Source organism: Homo sapiens, chromosome 1 (assembly GCF_000001405.40).
Source record: "Homo sapiens chromosome 1, GRCh38.p14 Primary Assembly".
NCBI lineage: Eukaryota > Metazoa > Chordata > Mammalia > Primates > Hominidae > Homo > Homo sapiens.
In genome coordinates this window covers 100,624,828-100,648,568 of record NC_000001.11, presented here as the reverse complement: position 1 = coordinate 100,648,568, position 23,741 = coordinate 100,624,828, and the positions used below count along the sequence as shown (strand labels likewise).

Genomic DNA, 23,741 nt, shown 5'->3' with positions numbered 1-23,741 from the left:
CCTTTTTATTCTTTTCTCTCTATGCTTATCTGTCTGTCTTATTTCAGAAAGACAGTCTTCAAGCTCTGAGATTCTTTCCTCTGCTTGGTCTGTTCTGCTATTAATACTCGTGATTGCATTGTGAAGTTCTTGCAGTGTGTTTTTCAGCTCTATCATGTCAGTTATGTTCCTTACTATACTAGCTATTTTGGCTGTCAGCTCCTGCATTGTTGTATCATGTTTCTTAGCTTCTTTGCATTGGGTTACAACATGCTCCTTTAGCTCAACAAAGTTTGTTTTTATCCAGATTCTGAAGCCTAACTCTGTCATTTCAGCCAGGTCAGCCTCAGCCCAGTTCTGAGCCCCTGCTGGAGAAGTGTTGTGATCATTTGGAGGAAAGGAGAAACTCTGGTTTTTTGAGTTTTCAGTGGTTTTGTGCTGGCTTTTTCTCATCTTTGTGGATTTCTCTACCTTTGATCTTTGAGGTTGCTGACTTTGGATGGGGTTTTTGTGGGGTTTGTTGTTGTTTTGGCTTTTTTCTTTTAACAGTCTGGCCACTCTTCTGTAGGACTGCTGCGATTTTGCTAAGGGTCTGCTTCAGACCCTAATTGTCTCAGTTTTTCCAGTACCTGGAGGTATCACCAGTGAAGGCTGTGAAACAGTAAATATGGTAGCCTGCCCCTTCCTCTGAATGCTCCATCCCAGGAGGGTACTGACTTGTTGCCTGCCTGAATGTGCCTGTAGGAGGTGGCTGGAGACCCCAGTTGGAAGATCTCACCCCATCAGGAGGAACAGGACCAGGAACCTACTTAAAAGAGCAGTCTCAGTCTGGTAGTCTCAGTTTGGTGGAGCAGCTATGCTGTGTTGAGGATCTCTTCAGCCCCTGACTGGTTTGGGCTCTCCAAGGCCTGCAGGCTGGACTGGCTGAGATGCCCAAACAGCCAAGGTGTTGGCCTGCCCCACCCCCCAGGACCTCCATCCCAGGGGGATATTAGAACTCTGTCAGTGGTAGAACATGGGTGGGGTTGCTGGGGGTCCTCTGACTGGGAGGACCCACCCAGTGAGAAGGAGTGAATCCAGATCCTGTTTATAGATGCAGTTTGGCCATGCCTCAGCAACATAGCCATGTTGTGCTGGGGAACTGCCTCTGCCCCATTATTGGCTTGAACTAAAACCATAGGCTGGAACGACTGAGTCATCCAAACAAACAAGGTTGCAACTCCCCACCCTGGCACTCCATCCCAGGGAGAGAGCAGAGCTCTGTCCATAGAATAAGGGCAGGCAGGGGTAGCTGAAGGTCCCAACTGGGAGGTCCTGCCCAGTGAGGAGGAACAAATCAGGGTTCTGATCAAAGAAGCAATCTTGTCACATTCTGTGCTGTGCTGGGACCCTTCCTCATCAGGACCATTCGGACTCTCTAAAGCCTGCAGGCTGGAATGGCTGAGTCTACCAAACAGCAGAGATGGTGGCCTACCTCTACCCACCAGGCCTCCATTCTGTCTCAGGCAGGCTCCACCCTGTTGCCGGTGGCTAGCTGGAATTCCAAGCCAGTGGAATTCCAGCCTCTTATCTTGTGAGGTACCATGGAAATGGGGCCCACAGACCAATGCTTCTCAGCCCCCTGGATTCAGCCCCCTTCCTAGGGGTATGTACGGACCTCCCGTCTTGCTGAAGATCCTGAGCCAAAGTATGTAAAGCTCCTGGGTTTCTGTGTGCGCCTGAGCAGCTACTCTGCTAAAATTTCACACAGTTCTGTGTGTTGGACCCAAGGCCCTGGTGGTGTGGACTCACGAAGGGATTGTGATTGGAGGGTTGCAAAGATCTGTGGGAGGAGCGTGGTTCCCCAGGGTCACACATTTACTCACTGCTTCTCTCAGCTAGGAGTAGGGATTCCCTCGACTCTATGTCACTCCCAGGTGGGCCATCATCCCACCCTGCTTTTCTTTCTTCTCAGTAAGTTGAGTTGTTTTCCTCATCAGTACCAATGCGAGAACCTGGATATTTCAATAGAAGGTGCTGTATTCACTTGGCCCTTTCATTCCTCTCCTTGAGAGCCACACACCACAGCTGCTTCTACTCAGCCATCCTGGACCCCTCCCCACCCCAATTTTACATTATAACATTCACAGCTTTTTTCCCAACATCATATTAATGTTCATAAATTTACCCACTAATTTCCGCAAGTAGCTGGTACAAGACTCCTTTTTCAGGAAACAGCAATCAAGAGTACACTCTAAATAGCTGTTAGACAGATCTCCCTTGATGACTTCCATCCACCCCCATCAAGCCTTAGGGGCTGGGACTTCTAAAAGCTTTGGCTTCTTGAGGCTCCATAAGACACTGAAGCTCTTTTTCAGTGTTTTGGGTTAAGTTGTGATTTCTCCATGACTACTGCTGAGACTCAATTGACGTTTTCTCATAATTCCGAACAGCAGAAATGGTTTTGAAACTAAATCAGGGACAAGGGTTATGAACCAGAGGCCTTTCACTTTGCTTTTCCAGTCTTTGGGTTGCACTGTGGATTAATAGGGTACAGCTTTAAAGAAGTCGAGTTTTATCCCATGAAGAATGTCCCCCAACGAAATTATATTCATTTGAAAATGAAATTGCCCCCAACAGACTTTACCTCTTGAATTTCTTCAGCATTCATGATTAATGTCTACAACACCCCAGTGACACATCGTCTATCAATAGCCTCCTCAGTGCTATTGTTTCACTATCTTAGTTCCCTAAACAGATCTGAAACTCCCTAGATGGCAAGAGAGTTTATACTTTTGGGAATGGGTCTGTTTACTTTCTGTAAGCATAGAAATTGTTTATTTAATTCATTAAGAAAAATCATCCAGCATAAGATAAAAGATTGTTTTCAAGTTAGTCCATTAAAAATTGCTTCTTTTTAAATGACATCTCGAACTAATTATCAAACTAATTACTCCTGAAGACTGGTTACCAGAAGCAAAGAAGCAATAATGGGAAAGCATTCTATTTTTTAAAAATTGAAGTAAAACCATTATAGTAGAAAGGCTTATTCCCCCTTTTCTTTAATCTCCCTTGGTAATGCACTTGGAACATCCAGACTGAAATAAATTTTTTTATGACAATCTCATAATGGGCTGTTTGCTTTGTTCAGGTTACTGTACTTGAAGAAGATTCTTTAACTCAGGACTATAAGAAAAGACAAAAATATTTGTTGAAAGTAAATGAAACCATATTGTATACTGTATATCATATGTATAATGAACAGTAGCTTATATTATTACTATTGATACCAATAAGTATGGAAAAGTTATTTTGATTACAATTTCCTGTTATGCTCATTTTTCTAAAATTGTGTGCCAAAAACTATATTTGCAGGGAATTATTGGCTGCAGCATCATCAAATCACTAATGTATTACCAATGAAGAGCCGGCATCTTGGGCGTAAGCTTAAATTTTGAATCTCCAAATATAAACTTCTGAACAGGATTTTTTCTTCTTGTTTTAAAAATTTGAGATATAATATACATTCAGTAAAGTGCTCAAATCTTAAGTGCACAGCTTAATCACTCTTTACATGTAAATACACCCATAGAACTACCACACAGATAAAACAGTGAGTATTTCTAGCCTCCCAGAAGGCTTCCTGATGACCACCCTGAGTTAGTATCCTCCGAAGATAGCCACTATTCTTCTATCACCATAGATTAATTTTAATTATCCTTGAACTTCATATAAATGGATTCATAGTGGTATTCTTTTGTGTCTAGCTTCTTTTCACTCAACATTATGTCTGTGAGATTTATCTTCTTGTTGCACATAGCAATAGCTTGCTCTTTTTCACTGTTTTGAAATATTCTACTGTTTTTGATGAATATTCAGATGGATTTTAGTCTTTGGTTATTATGAATAAAGCAACTGTGAACATTCCTATACATGTTTGAGGATGACATATTTCTCCTGGGTATATACCCAAAAGTGGAATTTATGGATTATAGAGGAGGCGATGTTCGGAATCTTTATCTATAGCTAATTATTTTTAAAGTAGTGGTGGGAGGAAGGAAAATTATTTTCTACTGGTGTCTATTGTATACTTGATATTCTGAGAGAGTAGTTATAGCTGAAGTTGGTCAAGTTGAACAGAAATGTTTCTAGGTAAAATCTCAAGGAGTGAGTGAATAAGGTCAGAGGGCACTTGAACTACATCAATGCTAAAGTACCAAAGATTATGGTCATTAAGAATTCTTGGAAAGATGAGAGGGCTTTAATTAGAGTCAACTTCAAGACTCGTGCTACAACACAAAGCTGCCTATGGATCCCTTGTAATTACTGAGGGATACTTTTTCACCAAGGAATAAATGATGCTCTCATCTAACTTTACCTTTTCCATTGGCCACTGTAGGATTTGCAACTTCCACATGGAAATAATCAGTGAGAATAAACAGATTTCCACTTACCATTTCATCTACAGCACACATGTTCAAATAAAATGTCTCCTCTTCTCTCTTAGAGTTATTTCTAGGTTTGATTTAAAGTTTTTCTGTGGGGAATAAATCTGGTGCCAAGAACAAGTTAATAATTAAATTTTGCTTATCCTCTGGGGAAGCTGAAGTCTGACCAACTTCCTCCACATTGTAAAACTGTTTCTTCATTCCCTTGAATGCTCCCCTGCCCTCCCCAACTCTCCTCCAATCACCACACACAAATGATATGTGTTTACCTTTTCTACCTTAGTCTCGTTTTGCAAATCACTTTATTTTTTGTAAAACCCCTTTGATAATGCAAACCTATAACTACCTTCTCACATCCCATTGATGTTAGATCAATTTTACAAGGGTTATCTTGAGGTTTTTTTTCTAGATTTAAAAAAAAAATCCCGGGAATAGTTCCAGACTTTTTGATTAACTGGGCAGTTCTGGAAAGTAAGGCTGTTCCTCACTTGAATTACAGTATTTGTTATCGGCCCTTCATACTAGGGTGTGCTGCTGAAAGTTTCTGCTAATACCGGATGTAACAGCTTGGATTCTCATGACATTGTTCATTCTGAGGTCATTTTACCTTCATTTATATATCTTTATTTAGAATTCTTACAAATGAGTCAATCAAACTTTTTCTGCAAAACTCTATCAAGTCCTTATCATAGTGACTAGTGTAGCCCTCTAATCTTTTCCTTTCTGATGAACTTAACTTCTGTTGCACCAATTTAACTTTGTTTCAAAGGAACTTGGATCAGAGCAGACTATTTTATACACTATGTAGGCAACTACTCTTCAGTGACTATCAACTTTGTTCCTAAGTTGGAATTTACATACACACTTTAGAAAACAGTGATGACTATTAATTTTCTTCAAATTAATTAGTAGCATGTGGCTACACGAGGGACCCAAATGAGTAGAGAGTCATCAACATGTTGATGACAAAGCCAGGTCAGCTCCACCTTCACGAGATGGGGTCAGGAGTCGCTTCTTGCTAAATGGCCTTTTGCATACCTTGAAACTAGAAAGGAAGGAACTAATGTTCACTGAGAATGCCACATGCCAAACACTCTGCAGGCACATTACATGGGTTAACTGAATATTTATGACCACAGGAGAGTAGTGATATAACTTTTCCTACCAAGAATGGGGAATTCCTTAACCCATGGGTGTTATGAATTTGACAGATCCTTGTCCAAGCTGGAGCTTTCTTTAGGGATGACTAGAAGGAGCTGAGCAGTTAAGTTTAAAGACTTTCCTGTCTTGAATAATTATTGGCTCATCTCATTAATGTATTTTCTCAATTGTTACTTTCTGCACACTTTGGCCTTGCATAGCTCTGGCTCATTAAGTATTTAAAGACTTTTTTTTTTTTTTTTTTTTTGAGATGGAGTCTCGCTCTGTCGCCCAGGCTGGAGTGCAGTGGCGCAATCTTGGCTCACTGCAAGCTCCGCCTCCCCAGTTCACGCCATTCTCCTGCTCAGTCTCCCAAGTAGCTGGGACTACAGGCTCCCACCACCACACCCGGCTAATTTTTTTGTATTTTTAGTAGAGATGAGGTTTCACCGTGTTAGCCAGGCTGGTCTCGATCTCCTGACCTCGTGATCTGCCCGCCTCGGCCTCCCAAAGTGCTGGGATTACAGGCGTGAGCCACTGCACCCGGCCTAAAGCCACTTATTAATAATGTGTTTATCTGCTTTCATACTGCTGTTTATTTGCTGTTCTCTGGATAGGGTTTCTCCTGGGTTACTGATCAGTTCTTATGTCCTGCTTGGGCTGCCTGACCTTCCCACTTTTCAAGAAACTCCTAGCAATAGGCTTGGATAGCTCCTGATTTTATACCTGCCAACTTTTTTGCTGATCCCTCCCAAATATCACCTCAACTCCCAGTCAGTTCTGGACTTGTACCACCTTATTTGGCTTCCACTCTTGTGTAACCTCACTCTGTGTCCGATACATAGGACATGATTGATTAGGGCTCATAGGATTGTCCATACCTACCTACTACACTTCTGTGCAGTTAATTGAAATGGGTCACGTTGACCAAAAGTTATCAGCAGAATGATGTTGCAATTATTCTTTCCATTAGCATATAGATCTAGGCTTAAAAATAAAATCAAATAGTATTCAAATAGCTCATCCTGAAAACCAACAAAAAGTTACAGGAGAATCCAGATCTGCTTATCTATTTTTGGAAGAACAGCATCTAATGATTTGCTAACATCTATGAAGTAAGGATCTATATGTCAACATCTTTTTCTGATGTTGGATACGTTTTGTAAGATGCAAAACAATTATAAGCCTCTGATTTTATAATATAGAATGGACTTAATATAATGCCAGTTATCAGATATTTAGTTTATATTTATTTACTGATTTACTCAAAAGATGAAATAAGACACACATAGCACAAAATTCACCATCTTAACCATTTTTAAGTGTCCAGTTCAGTTGTTAAATACATTCATAGTGAGTACAACCATCACCAAGATCCATATTCATAACTCTTTTCATCTTCCCCAAGTAAAACTCTATACCTGCTAAACAGTAACTCCCCATTCATCCACCAAACCCCTGGCAATTACCATTCTACTTTCTGTCTCTATGAATTTGGCTACTCTAAGTAGTCGTATAAGTGAAATCATACAGTATGAGTCTTTTTGTGCCTTGCTTATTTCACTTAGCATAATATCTTCACAGCTCATCCATGTTATAACACTTGTTAGATTCTTCTTCCTTTTTAGGGCTGAATAATATTCCATATTTATATACCACATTTTGCATATTATTCATCCATCAATGGACACTTGAGTTGCTTTCACGTTTTAACAATTATGCATAATTGAGTAATGCTGCTATGAACACAGGTATACAAATATCTCTTTGAAACTCTGCATTCAATTCTTTTGGGCATATACTCAGTAGTAGAATTGTTGAATCATATGGCAATTTTTAATTTTTTTGAGAGCCACTGTAGTGTTTCCCACAGTGACTGTCTGTTGAACGTTCCCACCAACCATGCACAACAAAGGTTCCAATTACTCCACGTCCTCGTGAACAGTTGTTATTTTCTGTTGTTTCTTTCTTTCTTTTTGACAATAACCATCCTAAAAAGTGATCAGAGGATTCATGTTTAAAAAATAGATTTTCGTAAAAGGCACGGTAATTTCTGTGCGAGATGAGAATGGTTACCTGCTTATTAAATGTAGCTCATCTTTCAAATGACTGTGATTAATTCCTTCCCTCCTTCTATATGCATGCCACACCCCCATCTGGAGATGGATTTTATTCCTCACCAACTGTGAATCTAGGCTGACCTCTGACCACTTCAACCAATAGAATATGGTGAATGTTGCATTGTGTCAGTTCCAGGCCTTGCGTTTGTGAGTATAGGAAGTTCCTGCTGCAATGTCAGAAGTCCAGGCTCCTTTTCTTGGAAGAAAGACCATGTGAAGAAGCGTGTTGTCAGATGTGATGAAGAAGCCATTGCGGATACTCAGCCCTGTTGAGACTTCACATGGCTCCAGCCTCAGCAGCTATATGACCACAACAGCACGAGAGACCCCAAATGAGGACTGCCCAGATGAGTTCATTTACCCTGCAAAACTAAGAGGGATAATACTAATGAAGCGTTGCCTCAAGCCACTAAGGTATGGTCAGTTACACAGCAGCAGATAACTCAGACAAATGAGTCCCAAGGTTCAGAATAAGGCAAGAATCCAGACCAAGTACTTCCCGTTAGTAAATATTGTCTCCAGATTTCCCTGTCCATATTCAACTTACTTGGCTTTTCTCCAGTTGTTTTATCTGTAACTTTAGTAATGAATGTGAAATATTACTGTTAAGCCTGAGTCTTATATATGTGTGTGTGTCTTTATATATAAATCTTAAAGTTTGTTTGTAAGTTTACTATACAAATACACACAATTCAGAAAAGCAATTGGCACATAACATCAGGCTTGTGGAATTAATGGTGGGGAATCCCAATGGAGATCACCAAATTTTACATATCAATGATTTATTGGGCAAGAAGGATCACCATCTGGTATATACTCTTATTCTTCTTCCGTAAGAGGACACTAACAGAGATCATTCTATGGCCCTCTAAAAATATTCAATGTGATAATCTGTTCTCTGGCTTCCTAGAGAAAATATCTTGCAAGATAATTTGCTATATGGCTTACAGGAGAAATTTATCTTTGGCCATAACTGAGAGAGAGTCAGCACCAAGGAAGAAGAAATAGAAAGCTTCCTCAATCCATAGCATGGTTTCTGAACATCAAATCAAATCCAAACATTAACCTCTCTGACTCTATATCCTGATTTCAATAACTGTACCTTTGACTTACTTATTGTGTTTAAAAATAGAGAGGATGTGTAATGTGGGGAAAAGAATAGCCAAAAATATATTTTACATTTACAACACACTAGACATCCTCCTGTGTGCTTACAGGTCATCTCCTAGTCAAGTGATATAGTTGCTTTTCTTCTCCCCAGTGCTCTACGGCTCAGCAAATGCCACTCAGTTTCTTAATCCATAATCCAAGTGACATCCTTGATGCCTCTCTCTTCCTCTCACACTTTGTATCTACCTCATCATGGAGTCCTGTCATATTCCTAAAGCCACTTAATTGTGTATTTTTAAAGAATGCAATTAAATAAAATGTTATTCTATGTAAATTATATCTCAGTAAAACTGTTATTAAAAACTTTTAAATATATCTAGAATCTTTCCACCTCTCCTCATCACCATTGCTGCATCCTCATTCAAACTTCTGTTCTTCTCTTGCCTGGATTACTGCACCAGCTTCCTAACTGGTCTCCCTGCCTCAGGTCCTGTCCAATTATAGTCTATTTCCATGTAGTAGTCAGAGTGATCTTCTAAAAACATAATCCCTAGCATGTTCTTCTCTTGCTCAAAACCCACCCAAGGAGTTTCCACCACAGTGAAAATAAAAGCCTTCAAGGTCTCAGATGATCTGGCCTCTCTTTCTGAGTTCATATCTACCTCCATATCTCTCCATTTGCTCCTTTTATTCCACCACACTGACCTTCTTGCACTTCGTAAAATGTGTCAAGTTCATTCCTTCCTTGGTAATGAATAGACTTAGCATTGGCTGTGCTCTCTGTCTGGGCCCTGCTTCCTCCAGATCATTCAGACCTCTGTTTAGTGTTTTTTTCATCAGAGACCTTTCAAGGCCATTCTATATGAAAGAGAAGTCTGCCCCACCCCCCATTTGGTCTTGATTCCTTTAACCTGCTTTCTTTTTTCTTTATAGCACTCATCACTATATGACCTTCCATTCTTACTTGTTCATTTCAATGTGATCTCCTTGAGTGGAGAGGCTCATCTTCTCCAGTGCTTAGAATAGTAGCTGGCATGTGCTCAGTGAATATGCAGAATGTTGAATGAATGTGAATGATTAGTGAAGAAATAAATGAATAAATATCAGTAAACATCACCTTTTTGCTAAGTTCACCAGTTCTTCCTGCCCAAGGACACTCTCCTCATGTCACAGACAGCAACCTAACATAACATAATTATGCTATGGTTGGTTCTTATTTCCCCACAGAGTTCTGTGGGTTGCACATATCCTAGTCACTTTGAAGAGACTCCAGCAACCTCAATCTGATGGAAAGAAAAGGTCTTGACTACACCCCAAAAAAGGCCTAAACTGCCCTCCTCTCACTAAAGTGACACTTTGATTAACAACCTCCAGGTCACAGAAATATTTTTCTGATAATCTGGAGGGAGGAGCCAAGATGGCCGAATAGGAACAGCTCCGGTCTACAGCTCCCAGCAAGAGCAATGCAGAAGACGGGTGATTTCTGCATTTCCATCTGAGGTACCAGGTTCATCTCACTAGGGAGTTCCAGACAGTGGGTGCAGGACAGTGGGTGCAGTGCACTGTGCGGGAGCTGAAGCAGGGTGAGGCATTGCCTCACTCGGGAAGCGCAAGGGGTCAGGGAGTTCCCTTTCCTGGTCAACGAAAGGGGTGACAGACGGCACCTGGAAAATCGGGTCACTCCCACCCGAATACTGCGCTTTTCCAACGGGCTTAAAAAACGGCGCACCAGGAGATTATATCCCGCACCTGCCACAGAGGGTCCTACGCCCACAGAGTCTCACTGATTGCTAGCACAGCAGTCTGAGATCAAACTGCAAGACTGCAGCGAGGATGGGGGTGGGGCGCCCGCCATTGCCCAGGCTTGCTTAGGTAAACAAAGCAGCCAGGAAGCTCGAACTAGGTGGAGCCCACCACGGCTCAAGGAGGCCTGCCTGCCTCTGTAGGCTCCACCTCTGGGGGCAGGGCACAGACAAACAAAAAACAGCAGTAACCTCTGCAGACTTAAATGTCCCTGTCTGACAGCTTTGAAGAGAGCAGTGGTAATCCCAGCACCCAGCTGGAGATCTGAGAACAGGCAGACTGCCTCCTCAAGTGGGTCCCTGACCCCTGACCCCAGAGAAGCCTAACTGGGAGGCACCCCCCAGTAGGGGCAGACTGACACCTCACACGGCCGGGTACTCCTCTGAGACAAAACTTCCAGAGGAACGATCAGACAACAGCATTCGCAGTTCACGAAAATCCGCGGTTCTGCAGACACTGCTGCTATTACACAGGCAAACAGGCTCTGGAGTGGACCTCTAGCAAACTCCAACAGACCTGCAGCTGAGGGTCTTGTCTGTTAGAAGGAAAACTAACACAGAAAGGACATCCACACCAAAAACCCATCTGTACATCACCATCATCAAAGACCAAAAGTAGATAAAACCACAAAGATGGGGAAAAAACAGAGCAGAAAAACTGGAAACTCTAAAAAGCAAAGTGCCTCTCCTCCTCCAAAGGAACACAGTTCCTCACCAGCAACGGAACAAAGCTGGATGGAGAATGACTTTGACGAGTTGAGAGAAGAAGGCTTCAGATGATCAAATTACTCTGAGCTACAGGAGGAAATTCAAACCAAAGGCAAAGAAGTTGAAAACTTTGAAAAAAAATTAGACAAATGTATAACTAGAATAACCAATATAGAAAAGTGCTTAAAGGAGCTGATGGAGCTGAAAGCCAAGGCTCGAGAACTACGTGAAGAATGCAGAAGCCTCAGGAGCTGATGTGATCAACTGGAAGAAAGGGTATCAGTGATGGAAGATGAAATGAATGAAATGAAGCGAGAAGGGAAGTTTAGAGAAAAAAGAATACAAAGAAATGAACAAAGCCTCCAAGAAATATGGGACTATGTGAAAAGATCAAATCTACGTCTGATTGGTGTACCTGAAAGTGACGGGGAGAATGGAACCAAGTTGGAAAACACTCTGCAGGATATTATCCAGGAGAACTTCCCCAGTCTAGCAAGGCAGGCCAACATTCAGATTCAGGAAATACAGAGAACGCCACAAAGATACTCCTCGAGAAAAGCAACTCCAAGACACATAATTGTCAGATTCATCAAAGTTGAAATGAAGGAAAAAATATTAAGGGCAGCCAGAGAGAAAGGTCGGGTTACGCACAAAGGGAAGCCCATCAGACTAACAGCAGATCTCTCGGCAAAAACTCTGCAAGCCAGAAGAGAGTGGGGGCCAATATTCAACATTCTTAAAGAAAGAATTTTCAACCCAGAATTTCATCTCCAGCCAAACTAAGCTTCATAAGTGAAGGAGAAATAAAATCCTTTACAGACAAGCAAATGCTGAGAGATTTTGTCACCACCAGGCCTGCCCTAAAAGAGCTCCTGAAGGAAGCACTAAACATGGAAAGGAACAACCGGTACCAGCCACTGCAAAATCATGCCAAAATGTAATGACCATCAAGACTAGGAAGAAACTGCATCAACGAGCAAAATAACCAGCTATCATCATAATAACAGGATATAATTCACACATAACAATATTAACTTTAAATGTAAATGGACTAAATGCTCCAATTAAAAGACACAGACTGGCAGATTGGATAAAGAGTCAAGACTCATCAGTGTGCTGTATTCAGGAAACCCATCTCATGTGCAGAGACACACATAGGTTCAAAATAAAAGGATGGAGGAAGATCAACCAAGCAAATGGAAAACAAAAAAAGGCAGGGGTTGCAATCCTAGTCTCTGATTAAACAGACTTTAAACCAACTAAGATCAAAAGAGACAAAGAAGGCCATTACATAATGGTACACGGATCAATTCAACAAGAAGTACTAACTATCCTAAATATATATGCACCCAATACAGGAGCATCCAGATTCATAAAGCAAGTCCTGAGTGACCTACAAAGAGACTTAGACTCCCACACAATAATAATGGGAGACTTTAACACCCCACTGTCAACATTAAACAGATCAATGAGACAGAAAGTTAATAAGGATACCCAGGAATTGAACTCAGCTCTGCACCAAGTGGACCTAATAGACATCTACAGAACTCTCCACCCCAAATCAACAGAATATACTTTTTTTTCAATACTGCACCACACCTATTCCAAAATTGACCACATAGTTGGAAGTATAGCTCTCCTCAGCAAATGTAAAAGAACAGAAATTATAACAAACTGTCTCTCAGACCACACTGCAATCAAACTAGAACTCAGGATTAAGAAACTCACTCAAAAACGCTCAACTACATGGAAACTGAGCAACCTGCTCCTCAATGACTACTGGGTACATAACAAAATGAAGGCAGAAATAAAGATGTTCTTTGAAACCAATGACAACAAAAACACAACATACCAGAATCTCTGGGACACATTCAAAGCAGTGTGTAGAGGGAAATTTATAGCACTAAATGCCCACAAGAGAAAGCAGGAAATTTCCAAAATTGACACCCTAACATCACAATTAAAAGAACCAGAAAAGCAAGAGCAAACACATTCAAAAGCTAGCAGAAGGCAAGAAATAACTAAAATTGAGCAGAACTGAAGGAAATAGAGACACAAAAAACCCCTCAAAAAATTAATGAATCCAGGAGCTGGTTTTTTGAAAGGATCAACAAAATTGATAGACCACTAGCAAGACTAATAAAGAAAAAAAAGAGAGAATAATCAAATAGACACAATAAAAAATGATAAAGGGGATATCACCACCAATCCCACAGAAATACAAACTACCATCAAGAGAATACTACAAACACCTCTACGCAAATAAACTAGAAAATCTAGAAGAAATGGATAAATTCCTTGACACATACACTCTCCCAAGACTAAACCAGGAAGAAGTTGAATCTCTGAATAGACCAATAACAGGATCTGAAATTCTGGCAATAATCAATAGCTTACCTACCAAAAAGAGTCCAGGACCAGATGGATTCACAGCCGAATTCTACCAGAGGTACAAGGAGGAGCTGGTACCATTCCTTCTGAAACTATTCCAATCAATAGAAAAAGAGGGAATCCTCCCTAACTCATTTTATGAGGCCAGCATCATCCTGATACCAAAGCCGGGCAGAAACACAACGAAAAAAGAGAATTTTAGACCAATATCCTTGACGAACATTGATGCAAAAATCCTCAATAAAATACTGGCAAACTGAATCCAGCAGCACATCAAAAAGCTTATCCACCATGATCAAGTGGGCTTCATCCCTGGGATGCAAGGCTGGTTCAATATATGCAAATCAATAAATGTAATCCAGCATATAAACAGAACCAAAGACAAAAACCACATGATTATCTCAATAGATGCAGAAAAGGCCTTTGACAAAATTCAACAACTCTTCATGCTAAAAACTCTCAATAAATTAGGTATTGATGGGACGTATCTCAAAATAATAAGAGCTATCTCTGACAAACCCACAGCCAATATCATACTGAATGGGCAAAAACTGGAAGCATTCCCTTTGAAAACTGGCACAAGACAGGGATGCCCTCTCTCACCACTCCTATTCAACATAGTGTTGGAAGTTCTGGCTAGGGCAATTAGTCAGGAGAAGGAAATAAGGGTATTCAATTAGGAAAAGAGGAAGTCAAATTGTCCCTGTTTGCAGACGACATGATTGTATATCTAGAAAACCCCATTGTCTCAGCCCAAAATCTCCTTAAGCTGATAAGCAACTTCAGCAAAGTCTCAGGATACAAAATCAATGTACAAAAATCACAAGCATTCTTATACACCAATAACAAACAAACAGAGAGCCAAATGATGAGCGAACTCCCATTCACAATTGCTTCAAAGAGAATAAAATACTTAGGAATCCAACTTACAAGGGATGTGAAGGACCTCTTCAAGGAGAACTACAAACCACTGCTCAATGAAATAAAAGAGGATACAAACAGATGGAAGAACATTTCATGCTCATGGGTAGGAAGAATCAATATCATGAAAATGGCCATACTGCCCAAGGTAATTTACAGATTCAATGCCATCCCCATCAAGCTACCAATGACTTTCTTCACAGAATTGGAAAAAACTACTTTAAAGTTCATATGGACCCAAAAAAGAGCCCACATCGCCAAGTCAATCCTAAGCCAAAAGAACAAAGCTGGAGGGATCACACTACCTGACTTCAAACTATGCTACAAGGCTACAGTAACCAAAACAACATGGTACTGGTACCAAAACAGAGATATAGATCAGTGGAATAGAATAGAGCCCTCAGAAATAACACCGCGTATCTACAACCATCTGATCTTTTACACACCTGACAAAAACAAGCAATGGGGAAAGGATTCCCTATTTAATAAATGGTGCTGGGAAAACTGGCTAGCCATATGGAGAAAGCTGAAACTGGATCCCTTCCTTACACCTTATACAAAAATCAATTCAAGATGGATTAAAGACTTACATGTTAGACCTAAAACCATAAAAACCCTAGAAGAAAACCTAGGCATTACCATTCAGGACACAGGCATGGGCAAGGACTTCATGACTAAAACACCAAAAGCAATGGCAACAAAAGCCAAAATTGACAAATGGGATCTAATTAAACTAAAGAGCTTCTGCACAGCAAAAGAAACTACCATCAGAGTGAACAGGCAACCTACAAAATGGGAGAAAATTTTTGCTACTCATCTGACAAAGGGTTAATATCCAGAATCTACAATGAACTCAAACAAATTTACAAGAAACAAACAAGAACCCCATCAAAAAGTGGGCAAAGGATATGAATAGACACTTCTCAGAAGAAGACATTTATGCAGCCAAAAGACACATGAAAAAATGCTCACCATCACTGGCCATCAGAGAAATGCAAATCAAAACCACAATGAGATACCATCTCACACCAGTTAGAATGGTGATCATTAAAAAGTCAGGAAACAACAGGTGCTGGAGAGGATGTGGAGAAATAGGAACACTTTTACACTGTTGGTGGAACTGTAAACTAGTTCAACCATTGTGGAAGTCAGTGTGGCGATTCCTCAGGGATCTAGAACTAGAAATACCATTTGACCCAGCCATCCCATTACTGGGTATATACCCAAAGGACTATAAATCATGCTGCTATAAAGACACATGCACACGTATGTTTATTGAGGCACTATTCACAATAGCAAAGACTTGGAACCAACCCAAATGTCCAACAATGATAGACTGGATTAAGAAAATGTGGCACATATACACCATGGAATACTATGCAGCCATAAAAAAGGATGAGTTCATGTCCTTTGTAGGGACATGGATGAAACTGGAAATCATCATTCTCAGTAAACTATCGCAAGAACAAAAAACCAAACACTGCATATTCTCACTCATAGGTGGGAATTGAACAATGAGAACACATGGACACAGGAAGGGGAACATCACACTCTGGGGACTGTTGTGGGGTGGGGGGAGGGGGGAGTGATAGCATTAGGAGATATACCTAATGCTAGACGACGAGTTAATGGGTGCAGCGCACCAGCATGGCACATGTATACATATGTAACTAACCTGCACATTATGCACATGTACCCTAAAACTTTAAGTATAATAATAATTTTAAAAAAATTTTTTTCTCTTTCTTTTTCTTTTTTTTTTTTTTTTTGAGATGGAGTCTCCCACTGTTGCCAGTCTAAAGTGCAGTAGCACGATCTCGGCTCACTGCAACCTCCAACTCCCGGGTTCAAGAGATTCTCCTGCCTCAGCCTCCCTCGTAGCTGAGACTACAGGCACGCGCCACCACGCCCGGCTAATTTTTGTATATTTAGTAGAGACGGGGTTTCACCATGTTGGCCAGGATGCTGTCGATCTCCTGACCTTCTGATCCACTCTCCTTGGCCTCCCAAAGTGCTGGGATTACAGGAGTGAGCCACCACGCCCAGCCACAAAAAACATTTTTCTAAAATTATGAGTCCTAATGCCCAATAATACATTCTTTAATATCTATTTATTACCTGTGAATATTTGACTGCCCAGTGCCAGATGTGGAATATATGCAAGTGAATACAGTACAGTTTGGAAGGTCTCCTCAGCTTCCCCTGACTTGTTACACATGCATGGTTTTTTTTTCTTTTTTTGTCTTATTTTTCTCTTTTTTTTTTTTTAATAGCTAACCTGGGTTTTCAATAATAAGCAATTGCTTTTTAATTTCAAAGAGTGAATACATTCCCTAAACTCTACTTTGTTAAGAAGCACCTTAAAAATCACTCCTTCTCATGGACAAGTTCTCTCTTAGTGCATAGTTTTCTCCTGCCTTCCCCAAATGGAATAGGTTCCTCTTCTTTTCAAAGGTTATCGCACTAAGCGTACTCTCAGTTCCACCAGTTCCAACTAATCCTCCATTATGCAATCTCTGTAATTTTTGTTATCAGATATCTCACAAGAACATCTCCAGTCCTCACTGAAGTTGTTTCCTTACTCATCGCCAATGATCTCCTACTCTAACCTCAATACCACTTCCTACATTCTCATCTTCTTAGCACTTTCTAAAGCATTTGACACCGCTGACCTCTCCCTGCTCCTCAGCCTCTCTCCTGCCTCAGCTCACTTGATCCCACACTATAGTGTTCTCCTCTCTGCCTTGTCAAGGTTCTTCAGCTTCCCTCCCTGGTTTGTCTTCATCTTCCCACATCCTACATGTTGGCAGCCCTCCAAGACTCTGCCTTTTGGCCACTAGTTTCCTTTGGGATTCTCATCTGCACTCATGGCTTCAACTGTCACCTCTTCAGGGGTCCCTCAGGACTACATCTTCAATCACAACCACAATCCCACAAACTCTATTCCCAGAGTTCCATACGCCTACTAAACATTTCTCTCTGAAATTCCTCGAAATCAGAATACCTCAAACAAAACTTATTTTCTCTTCCTATGAGTCAGTCCTCTTCTTATTTTTTGAATTCCATTAATGGCACCACCATTAATGGAATAATCATCTGCAACTTCTTTCACTGCCTCTCTCCTTTGCTTTCCAAACCAATCGGTTTTCAACCTTTGTACATTTCCTTTGCATCTTGCCTCTGTATGTTCTGTCCTGTTCATACTTTTCACTATTCTGATTCTGTCTTTAGTCCCTGTTTCCTGAACTCTTTGCATAGCCTCAAAAATATTTTCAGCTTCTCTCCATTGCATCCTTTAGTTAGCTTTCCAAATCTCTAGTGGTTTATAATTTCCTGCTTAATAGACTCTAAATTCCCAACTTTGAAATGTGGACCTAATTATCCACCAAAAGTGGACTTTTCACTCTTTTTTTTAGTACATTTTTTGTTTGAGTACCTTCATATCTTTTTAAATACTCTTCTATTCACCTCTTGTCCAGTTCCACTTGGCAAAATCTTACTTTTCATGTCCAATTTAAAGAACACATCTTTTATTAATCCTTCTGTGACTAATCTTAGTCCAAAGAAATCTCTCCTCCCTCACCTCTATAACATGTTGCTTGCACCTTTTTTTTATTGTATTTCTTTGTGTATAGCTTACTTCCTCAACTAAATTTTAAGTTCTTTAAAAAATAAGGATGACTTCTCTGGTAAATTATATTATTATTCCCAAAGATTCATGGCCTTTCTCATGGGAGAATTATCCTTGTCTGCCCTCCACGGCAGGCGTGGCTACATGACTAGTTTGGGCCAACGAAATTTGAGCAGAAGTGATGTTGTTTGTTTGTTTGTTTGTTTTTTGACAGAGTCTCGCTCTGCTGCTCAGGTGGAGGGTGGTAGCGCAATCTTAGCTCACTGCAACCTCCACCTCCCGGGTTCAAGCAATTCTCTTGCCTCAGCCTTCCAAGTAGCTGAGATACAGGTGCCTGCCACCGTGCTTGGCTAATTTTTGTATTTTTAGTAGAGATGGGGTTTCACCATTGTTGGCCAGGCTGATCTTGGGCTCCTGAGCTCAGGTGATCCACCTGCCTATGCCTCCCAAAGTGCTGGGATTACAGGCGTGAGCCACCGTGCCCAGCCAATGAATGCCACTTCTGATCTATCATGTGTTTCTGCCATCTCTCTTGTTCCCCAACACAAGAAAATCCCAACTAATGGCTATTTCTACCCAGATCCCCAAATCCAGAAGATGGGGAGCAGAGCTGCACCTAACTCACTATGGGCATTAACATAGATGAGAAATAAATCATTGTGTTCTGAGCTATTGAAATTTGGGAGCTGTTTGTTACAGCAGCATAACAGCCAAAGCTGAAGCAACTTCTTACCTAATTCAACAAATATTCATTTAGTCATTTATTCCACAACACTGACAACATACTCTGTGCCAGCACTACTTTAAATATCATGGTACAGACAAATACTTGTAAAGCAATTGTCTTAGTTCTAAATAGTAAGACATGTTCTCAAGCTGCTACAATACAAGGCAACATGGCATAAATCTATTGGAGAACTATAAACAAAGAACTACTAAGTTTCAGGAAAGGGAGAGAGAATTTACACTAGAGGGATTAGAAAAACTGTCACGGAGGAAGTGTTACTTGTTTCTTCCTCCACATCTAGCACACAGTAGGCTTTAAAGATTTGTTGAATAGGTAAATAAATTATTAATAAAACAGAAATAATATGAACACCTAATTGTCATCAATAAAGGCTGACATTTCTGTATTAATTCAATCACTTAATTTGCCGCATCAGGGCAGGTGAAATGTTCCAGGACAAAAAGAAAATGGGAATTAAGAACTAGTGAGTGGGTGAGTTTGCCTTACCTAAATCCCATGGTGAAAGAAATCTTACTCATAGACCCTAGCATCTTTTAAGCTCCAATTATTTCTGGTTGGTCATGTGGCTTTTCATATGACCCACTGCTTTTGGCACACTACTTAAACAAATTTATCTTACAATCAGCAACCAACGGCTTCCTATTTTCAGTTTTACCCTGATGGGAACCATCAAGCAGAACCTTCTGGACCTGTACTTCCGAGTTCACTAGGGCTGGGAGAACTCAGCCCAGGGATCAGCAACGCATGTACGAGTCTCTCCAGAAGAGGCAAGTAGAGTGACCTTAAATAGCCTAGAACAGAATTTTTAGAAAAAAAAATAATTCCCTCCTTAACTCTGACACAGGCTGCTGGGATGATTCAAGTGATAAATGCCCTTTTCCTGGCTTCATAAATTACAAATTCAGAAACTGGTTAAATAGCTTAATCATGGACCCAATGTTACAGACAGGAAAATACTGAATACAGGAAGAAGGGAGGGCCATAAGTGAATTCTTGCCCTAGCTTCCCGTTAACCTAGACTGAGCAGTGCGGCAAAATGTCTATCTGAAGGTCTATCTGAAAAATATCTATCTGAAGGTCTCTTCAGCTCTGAAGTTCTGTGAGTCTGTGAAACTATGTAGATTCAGAAAGATTTGCCTCTAGGAAGTGGACAGCCTACTCTCATCTGGACATTTTTCCAAATGACAGTGGGACTGGGGACCCTCACTCCCACTCCCCCACCTCTAGGGTTTTCCTAACTAAACAGGGTAAGTAGGTTTTGTGAAATGCTGACCCCAGTAGTTACCACAGGGTGACTACAGAAACATATACCTTGGCCTAAGTTCAAGTGCCTTTGCTTTGGTAACATCGTCTGACAACTCTAACAGTCCCAAGTGTATGGAAGCAGGTTCTCTCCTTTGCAAATAGAGACTGTTCTTTAAAGATAAAGTGAGTTTGCCCAGCATGTTGAGTCTGTGATGGAGTTGCTAAGAGGAAATAACTTCATACCCTCCATAGCTCAAACCTGAGCTCAACAACATAGTCATTCCCAGAAGCTGCTTACTGTCTCTGGGCCTTAGTTTTCAGATCTGTATGAGAACAGCTTTTCAAGACAAGAATAAGGTTATTTCATGGATATGACAGTGCCCGGGGCCCAGAAACAATTCACACGAACTCAATGAATGTGAGTTCTCTTTCTCTCAGGACTCCCCTAAAGCCCATTTCCGTCCTGTCTTGGATACTATTTGATTAACTTTCTGTTGCTTCTCTTTTAGTTAAATATTCCTTTTATCTATGTTTAATATATCTCACAGTCCACTAAGAAACCATACACACACACACACACACACACACACACACACACACACACGCACAATATGAACATTCTAGGGTGAAGAAAAGTGGCAAATCTTTCAGTGTAGAACCATCACCTACTTGTAGGCGCATCCACAAAATTTGATATCTCTCATCATCCCCAAAAAATGCCTTTGGCCCATGACAAAATTAGCTTTAAAATTTCATAACTATTTACACAGAACTATTTCCTGACTCATTCCCCGTAACTACCGCAGAAGCTTCCAGTCTGGAAGCTGGCAGTCTTAGCTTGCCCCAACTCTCTTCTCTACTTCCCTGCCCACACAAATTCCACATCCACCCAATGCTCAGCGTGGCATCCTCAAACAAACCACTCTCTCCACTGCCCACGCTCATAACTCCCAAAAGTAACAATCATCATCCCTCTTACAGTCTAATGGAAAGGGGTTTCATACCCTTCTTTTTCACTTTGTCTCTGTATTTCAATATTTTCAGACATAACACTGACTGTATGCTCTACAACTAACTAATCTTCAGTTTGCAGAAGAGGAAACTAAAGGACAGGAAGTTGGCTGATTCCTACAATGAGCAGAAGTTACAGCAAAGGTCAATGCCAGGACTGAGTTCCCTGTTTTTCTCACTCACATTCTTTAAGTTGGTACCTGGGCCCCTGGTGCAGGATGGGTTCTTCATAAACCTTTATTAAATAAGTGTTCAATAAATCAATACTCAGTTTTCTCCATTGTAAAGCAAGGGTGATGCTACTCATTTCTGAAATAGGTCCAACCTTAGAGAATATCTTTTCTTCTCTAACAATGTTGTCTTCACGATTAAGTGGTGGATTTTTAGGAGTCCAGATATCTGTGTTTAGTTCTGCTGCTTTGGCTTGATTAGACTTGATAATGTGCACACAATACACACACACACATAATGATATAACTTGCAGATATTTCATAAGCTGAGACAGAAAATAAAACAGTTTATGAGAGTCTCAGTCTATGAGGAGGCAGAGGAAGGAAAATGATCACACCAAGGAATAGCACCGAAGTGCTGTAATTTATTATGTGTTTTCGTAAACCTTAGCTCATTTGAACCTCACAGCAACCTTATGGGAATGGTAGGGCAAATATCGTCATCTCCATTTCCTTTGAAAAACTGAAAGTTCAAAGGATTGAAGTGAATTTCCCTAGGTTACAAACTTGACAAGTGGTGGAACCAAAACTAGAGCCCAGGCCTTCTCTTTCTAGATGAGAATTAGTCACTCTTCTGCTATCAATCATCAGTTAGTTATAAGGCATTTAACCTTCCATGCCAAGGATTACTTTTTTTTTAATGGCATATTCTATCTTCCCACTTAAAACCCCTGAGGGTAGAACTATGTCACAATCATATTTGATTCCCTATAGCTAAGTACAGTTTCTGTCGCAGGATTGAACCTCAATGATACTTAATAACAGTAATATTATTTTGATAGATAAAAATAACATTTTTAAGAAATAGTACCTGCATATAGCAAGTTGGCTTTCCCGGGATATTTACTCGTTCCCTGGTTGCATTACCCAAGCGAGGATGAAAAGTTTATTTCTTAATGAATGTCCCATCAACTTAGTCTAAGCAAAAATTCTATGAGAGAGATTTGTTTACTCTAAGGAAATCATTTTAACTCTTTCAGAAAGTGCCTTCTTCTGGTGTCCCTAAAAGATCTCTAATTTACCAAGTGAATTAAAAAATGTATTTTCTCTTAAACTCTAAGATTAGAAACATTACTTTATCCCCCAGCTTTTTTCTCAACCCTGTTGAAACAGCTTTCTCTGTTGCCATTCAGGGGTTGGTTTCAGCCAGAAAGTTACTTCTCATTTTTAGAATGCAGGGCACGTTTAAATAAGGATCGTTATCATTAATATTTATGAAGTGCTCAAAATGTGCCATGATTTTTATCCATTATCTCATTTAACTCTTAAATAATTTAACTCAATTAAGATGTTATTATCTCACAGGATCCCTTTGGCATAGGGAATATTATTATTCTTATAATATAGTTAAGGAGACTGAGTCTTCAAGGCACCATGTGGCTTTCCCAAGGTCACATAGCTAGAAAGTAGCAGAGTGAGATTTGATCCTAAGTCTCTCTGAATTTGAGACTTAACAACTACACCATAAAGTTTCACTCACTATAGATGGTGGCAGATGAACCTCATCATCAGTGAGGTCATCAGTGGAAGACAGTCCCCGTTTCCTTTTGAATACCTGAAGGATCAAGCTATGGACTGAGATGACAAAAGGCCTAACTCATCCACTTGCTCATCCATACACCCAATCTGTGATTATGGAAATGCTTTTAACGTCAACATTTTCTGTTTATAGTATGTACAATTAGATTAAAGTTGAGTGTTTGGCAATTTATGCTCAGTGTGAACAACAAATCCAAATGCACTAGGCTAAGAAGCAGAATCACATTCGCACAATAAAATGTAAACAAGAAACACAAGAGAGTCAGAGAGTCATATTCAGAGAGGGTGGGCTTGTTATTGTTTTTTGTTTTTTATTTAGAACCTGCTGATTAAAAAAAAGACCCAGATGCACAGGATCTCTGACTAAACAATTGCTGTGTGGTAGCGGGAGGTCTGGGTGGCTCATTCATCACAGCACGGAAGGCACCCTCTCAAGAACATGTAAACGGGATGAAGAGCTCTCCCGGAATGTTACAGCAAACATGTGCCAGCCCTCTTTGTTCTCTGTCTAGGGTCATTTCACTTGTAATGATTCATCTTAATCTTTCAGGTTCTGGAAAGCATAGGATACATCAGGCAGGAGGTACCCCATTTCTAAGCCTAGAGCGGAGAAGAAATCCTTTCTGGATGACCACACCATGGGGTTGAAAAAGCAGAGCAGAGTCCACAGTTCTGCGTAGATTATTTATTCAAAAAATCCCCAATAACTAACAGAGCAGAAACTGGATTTAGGAATCTA

The 23,741-nt window shown here is 40.5% G+C and overlaps 1 long non-coding RNA gene across 1 annotated transcript; it reads left to right on the top strand.

The window, feature by feature from the left end:
• Positions 1-1,564: 1,564 nt before the first annotated feature.
• LINC01349 (long intergenic non-protein coding RNA 1349) lies at positions 1,565-21,520 on the top strand. Its single transcript, NR_038914.1, has 5 exons — positions 1,565-1,666; positions 3,334-3,399; positions 7,797-8,080; positions 19,627-19,744; positions 21,267-21,520. It is a non-coding gene; the product is annotated as a long intergenic non-protein coding RNA 1349 (long non-coding RNA).
• The last annotated feature ends 2,221 nt before the right edge of the window (positions 21,521-23,741 follow it).